The following is a 6,844-nucleotide window of genomic DNA, read 5'->3' on the forward strand; positions in this document are numbered from 1 at the left end:
AAGAAAAATCAAATCTCCAAATAGCCTTGGGTGTTTTAGTAACAAATTTATGTTTTTTTTTTGTCTGGTTTGCTTGATTAGTCAATGTGGGTGAGAAAGCATTTTAGCAGGTTTTTTGTTTTGCTTTGTTTGCTTTTTCTGGGCATGGCAGACAAAGAAAGGCATTTTTATGCCAGAGAGACACCTCATATTATTGCTCTGAGCTTAAGATTTTGACCTGTTTAATCTGAGAGCCTAATTTATAAACATTTATTTATGTTTTGGAATTTATCTTATTTGGAAATGACTTGGACATTCAATGAGTATCACTTTATTTAACATAACTTTAGAATTTTAAATACTTAGCAATATATACTTATTGGTTTATAAAAGAGAGTTGGATCCAAATTATATTTCTTAGAAAATGGGGTCTGTTCATATAGCTAAATGTTATTTACCCTGATAGGTAGTCTATTTTATTTCAGAATATCAATCCCTTAATTAACTATTCCATCACCCTAAGCAATTGTTTTTCAGGCAAACTCAAATTTACATTTCATGTCTAGATTGTTGGTTGCCATGGAGCTGTTGTAAGTTGTAAAGCCATTAGTTTGAAAGCCCTTTAAGACTGTAAAAAAATGTCTTGTCTGGAATGCCATAAGCAGTGTGTTTATCTCAACACAAGTAGAAAAATCAGCAGATTCAAAGTAGGCAGAAAAAAAATAGAGATATAGAAAACTTAGAAGGCTCTACATGTTAACTCTGCAGTTACAGTTTCTAATTCAGCTTTAAGTAAAACAAGTTTGGGGGGTTCGAATGATCCCCATGATAGCCACTGGTTTAAAAACATGGCTGGGCATGGTGGCTCATGCCTGCAATTCCAGTGCTTTGGGAAGCCAAGGCAGGAGGATCACTTGAGGCCAGGAGTTCATGACCATCCTGGGCAACATAGTGAAACACCATTTCTACAAAAAAATTTTTTTTTAAATAAAAAGAAATGCATGAGGAAAAGTCATGTAATTGGCAGGAGTCCCTGAAAACCTGGCATGCCTTAATGTTTGAGAATATCATTTTTGTTTTATATTAATCTCTCAAGAGTGAAGAAAATTCTATAATTCCTGTCACGGAGTTTGGACTGATGTTTTAGATAGTGGTGACTGTCCTAGTGGTTTTTAATTGGCTGTCTTGTGCCCACCATTTAGAGTGTTTGTTTTTGCTCTCAGAAAATGTTTAGAAACAAGCAAGGGGGAAAAAGGAGCCAGATCATTTACAGACGCACATGACCAAACCCAAATGAAACAAAAAATAAAAGTGTTCACAAAAATTTTAAGCCAGGCATGCAGACCACACAAAATACTATACCAGGCATGCAGACCCAGACAAAATGTAAATTCTTTGGAAACTAAAGGACTCAAATCAGAAAAACATTGTTCTTATTCTAGATACCACCTGCCAGAAAAGACAAAACATCTTTTATTATCTCAGAAACTGACAAAGAATTCACTGAGGGAAGGGAGTCCAAGAATTAAAAAGGGTATTTACTAGAGCAGAAAATGTAACTCATGGCAGCATAGAGCGCAAAGGGCTCAGTTGATGCCTCACTTGATACCAGCAGCTGCCGATTACCTCACTTGATACCAGGGGCTGCTGATTCCTTTGAGGTGGGTACACTTGGGTCCCACTTCTGAGATATCATTTTTATTAATCTAAATAACAAAGAGGGGGGCTCTAAGAGAAAAATGTTTATTTGGGAATAGGGCACTGCAATGGGAACATGTGTGCCATAGTAAACTATGTGTATATTTAGGGAAGTAAAGACGGACAAACTTTTTAAAGAAAAAATGAGGATAATTACATAATTGTTTCGGGATACTTGTCCTTAGCTCCAAGAATCAATAATAAGAGTGGTGCCAGTCCAAGATTAGACAGGCAGTTGCTGGGCAGATGTCCTTGCAGAAGAATTTGTGTGTGTGTAAGGTTGTGATGGCCTTTGTGCACAGCTTTAGTTTTTGCAGGCTTTTGTCGTAATTCTTGTTATCAGATATTTGTGCATGAGAACTCTTCCTTCATGGTGTTTCTTGGCTCTATTTGTGAGGATTTTTAACACAAGTGACTTTGTTTTTATTCTGACAACCTTCACAGCCCCAATCCAACATGATTGGTGACCTTATAAGAAGAGGAGAAGAGACAGAGGCAGACATACAGAGTGGGAAGATGATCTGAAGATTCACAAATGGAATGCAATATGACGACAGAAGCAGAGACTGGAGTGATGTGTCCACAAGCCGAGGATTGCCAGCAACACCAGAAGCGAAGAGAAAGGCATGAAACAGATTCTCCCCTACAGCCTTCCCAGAGAGGCGGGCCCCACCCACACCTTGATTTCAGACTTCTAGTTTCCTAACTGTGAGAAAATAAATTTCTGTTGTTTTAAGTCACCCAGTGTGTGGTACCTTGTTACAACAGTCTTAGAAAACGAATACAGACTCTACTAAAAATAAAATCAGAAAAAAAACCATAAACACAAATAAAAATTAAATGATAGAGTTCCAGTGTTATGGAGTGAAAAGGTCAGCAAATGCTCTCTTCAAAAACAATTATAAAACTGAACAAAAAAATCATTTCAGAGCTTTGGAATAGACCAAGGGCAAACAACAAAATGAAGAGCATTTATTTATTTAAAACTGCTGAACTTTGGATAAGAATAGTAGGAGTCTAGTTTTGCTTAAAATGAAGTTTTAACATGATTATAAGGGAAAGAGGGAAGATGTTATCTCATGCAGCTATCATCATGCTAGAACTTCTCATTCATTCTCAAAAAAATTTAAACACACAAATGACACATGAATATTTTCTCATGGCAAAATAGAAAAACAATATCAATACAATGAAATTCCATATTGATTCTCATCTTTCATTCTCATTTCTTTGATAGTAATGCAGCTAGGAAGGTAATTTATTTTGTGTTTGTTTTGATATTAAATAAATAATATCACATTGTCCTTTACCACTGCTGCTGGAGCTGCATCTGCAAACTCCGGGGTCAGTTCTTGTGGCCCCAGTGGCACCAGTGGCGGGGAAGCCGGGTGCTCCAGTGACCCACCCAGGGAATGATGATGAAACGAGTGAGGATGAAGCCACAGTAAAGTGGCTTCGTCAGGAGACGTGTGTCTGTGAGAAATGCTCTGTAGAGTTCTTTAGCATCTCCGAGTTCCTGGAACATAAGAAAAAAATCACACTAAAAATCTACCTGTTCTCATGAATGACAGCGAGAGGCCAGTGTCTTCAGAGGACTTCTCCAGAGCTGTACTTAGCTACCAACCACCCAGTCCAAGCAGTGAGTGAAGCCAGTTGTGGACTCTGTGATGTACCTAAAGACAGAGACTGTCCTGCCGCCACCCCCAAGACATAATTTATTTACCCAAAGGCAAAGTGGCCAACACAAATGTGATCTTGCAGGCACTATGAGACACCAAGATGGTGATGAATCAGCAGAGTGCAGATGCGCTGCCTGTCCCAGCACCCATGTGTGCTTGAGCAGATCCTATGTCTGCAGAAGGAGGTACAGCAGGTCCAGCTCACCCAGCAGATCGCATCCAGGTGCACATGTGGACCTCCCATGCTCTCCACTTTGGTGGTGGGCGACGACCTTGGGCAGTCGCATGTCCCAGCAGGTTTCTATGGCTGTGACTTTGCTCAGCCAGAAAGCTGGAAGCCAAGGTCTGTCTCCAGATGCCTTGAAACAAGCCAAACTACTTCAAGCCAACATCCCTTCTGCCAACATTCCTTCTGCCACCAGCTCTCTGTCCCCAGTGCTGACGCCCTTTGCTCTGAAGCCAGATGGAACCAGGTTGTTCCCAAACGTCATGTCTCCTCTCGCAAGTGATTTGCTTCCTCAGATGCCGGGCTCGATGCTCTTCCAGAGTCCTTTCTCCATTGTCGCGCTAGAACCATCCAAGAAAGGGAAGAGGAAGCCACCGAACATCTCCACAGTCGACCTCAAACCCAAAGATGAGGCGGTCCTCTACAAGCACAAGTGTCAGAGCAGTCTCCCTTCCGTGTTTATCTGATCCCTGCCAACCTATGTCAAAGTTGAAGTTCCTGGCACCTTTGTGGGACCCTTAACATTGTCCCCAGGATGACCGCTTTGTTAGCAGCCCAGCCACGCCAACAGGCCAAGCAACATGGCTGCATGTGGTGTGGGAAGAACTTCTCGTCCACTGGTGCTCTTCGCATTCACGGGTGGACCCACACTGGAGAGAAGTCTTTTGTAGGCAACATTTGTGGGCGAGTTTTACCACCAAAGTCAACTTCAAGGTCCATTACATGATCCACGGGGCGAACAATAACTCAGCCCGCTGTGGGAGGAAGCTGGCCATCGAGAACACCATGGCTCTGTTAAGTACAGACAGAAAAAAGTCTCAGAAATGTTTCCCAAGGAAATCCTGGCCCCTTCGGTGAACGTGGACCCTGTTGTGTGGAACCAGTAGCCCAGCATGCCGAGCGGCAGTCTGGCCATGAAGACCAGTGAGATCTCTGTGGTCCGGAGTGGGGGTGTTCCTAACCTCCTGCTTTCCTTGGGGGCCAGCTCCATTGTGAATAACACCACCGTCTTCAAGATGGATGGCTCCCAATCAGGCATCAGTGCAGATGTGGAAAAACCAGGTGCTACTGACAGCGTTCCCTCACTTCCTGGAAGAAAACAAGATTGCAGTCAGCTAAGCTAAAGGAGAACTTGCATGGAAGGAGAAATGCAGACAGTGTGAAATCTCTAGAATCTGCTTTTTTGGTAAACACTCATCTCCCGTTTTCTTTTTCTTACTGATATGCAAATGATGTTTTTGAAGGTTGTGATCGCAACCTCAGGCAAGTCCCACAATCACGACTGTTGCTATGCTGCTTTGCAAAAAATTGAAAAATCAAACAACAACAAATGTTCATATCAAAACAAATAAAGACTAGCATTAAAAACAAATTTTGGAAAGAAGCGGGTCTTGCAAAGTAGCTTTTGTACTTGTGACAAACTGTATACATAGAACCTTTGCACAACCTAGAATTTTTTCCAAAGACTGGTTACCTATTTCAAGGTAGAATCATTGGAACTTGTTGAACCAACATGGAAAAGACAATGACTTAGCCTAATTGAGGGGAGAGGGGTACTGTATACTTCCATGATGACTGTACATGGGTAAAAGGACAAGGTCTGCCATCTATTTAGGGGCCTATTTATATACCCCAACCCTGTCCCCATCTTATTGTTTGCTTTTCTGAATGTACTTTAAAAAAATAAAACTAAGGTTGTAGAATTATAAAATTGCTTCAACTTTTTTTTTTTTTTTTTGAGATGGAGTCTCACTCTTTCACCCAGGCTGGAGTGCAGTGGCGTGATCTCGGCTCACTGCAGCCTCCACCTCCTGGGTTCAAGTGATTCTCCTGCCTCAGCCTCCTGAGTAGCTGGGACTACAGGCATGTGCCCCCATGCCTGGCTAATTTTTTTGTATTTTTAATAGAGATGGGGTTTTACCATGTTGGTCAGGCTGGTTTCAAACTCCTGACCGCAAATGATCTGCCCACCTTGGCCTCCCAAAGTGCTGGGATTACAGGTGTGAGCCACTGCGCCTGTCCTGCTTCAACTTTAGAACCATAAGTCGGATGCCCTCAGATGGACTTACAGTAGTCCTTAAGGAGTCAGTGTGTGTGTTGCTGCTTAAATGCAGTCCAGTTGGAGCCCTGAGAGTGCCAGTGTCCTCCCCACACTTCCCAGGTGCTGTCCTCTTCCTGAACCCCAGAAGAGGTGGGCACCTGAGCAGGGAATTTCAGGTGACTTAATTTGGTTTGTCAGTGCCTACTCTATTGAAGAACTGGGTTTTCATTCTTGAGAAGAAACTCATGGAAGGGTGTGTTTCCTATCACACGTTCACATACTAATTTTTTTTGTTGAATTTCCTTAATTCAACATAATTGGGACTTAAGCCAAGTAATTATGAAGATTCTTTTTGTTTTCTTCCTGAATATTTCATGAAGGCTATGAAGTTGGAATAGGCAATTCCTGGGTATAAAAGCTTTAATTTATCTACCTCATTTATTTTAAAATTCTTTTGTAGCTATAGTGTCTGTTTTCCTATTTTAAGACCGATGAAGTATTCCCAGGCCCTGTCTAAAATCTAGGAGTTGTATTGATGGGAAGAGCTGAACGTCCAAGAGGTTTTTGTGATGCCTTTTTTTGTAATCTCCTTTTGTAAGTGTAATATTGAGCAAATGAAACATTGCTTTCATAGTTTAACAAGAAAAGAGAAAGAAAGAAAGACTCTAGCTTCTGGGAGAAAAGTCTTTTCCCTCTAGGTGGAAGACCCTGGCTGAACAGTGGATCCAAGACTGTTAGTCAAGGTGTTGTCTCTTAGTTATTTCACCTGACTTTAGGATTCCCCAGATATTATTATTATTATTATTTCTGCCAAGTTGTGCCTTTTCTTCTGGAATTGTAAATGAACACAATAATAGTACCTGTTTAGACTGTGAAATGGGTGTCACGGAAAACACACTGGTGGCTTTCTCACTGTTGAGCTAATAATGCCTTGTGAATGTATGATCTATGGAGAAACCCCTTTTGTTGTACCTGCTGATGCTGTCTGTCTGTTGGAAAATACATTTTGAATTTTCCCCCCAAAAACTTACTTATTTTACTTCCTGTGAACCTGTAATTATTTCAAAATTAAAACTTAAAAATTATAGACAAGAAAAGAAACCTTTTTTTTTACATTTTTTGCCACTTCCACAGCAATGCTGGTATTTCTTGTTCATTATATAATATTGTTTCCATCCCTAGAGAGAAATATTTTAGGCCTGGGCCTGTGCGTAAGAGGCT

At 41.1% G+C, this 6,844-nt stretch overlaps 1 pseudogene; it reads left to right on the forward strand.

Annotated features, from left to right (window-relative positions):
- SALL4P6 (spalt like transcription factor 4 pseudogene 6) lies at positions 3,323–4,898 on the forward strand (annotated as a pseudogene).
- The last annotated feature ends 1,946 nt before the right edge of the window (positions 4,899–6,844 follow it).

The sequence above is a fragment of the Homo sapiens genome, chromosome 3 (genome assembly GCF_000001405.40).
Source record: "Homo sapiens chromosome 3, GRCh38.p14 Primary Assembly".
NCBI lineage: Eukaryota > Metazoa > Chordata > Mammalia > Primates > Hominidae > Homo > Homo sapiens.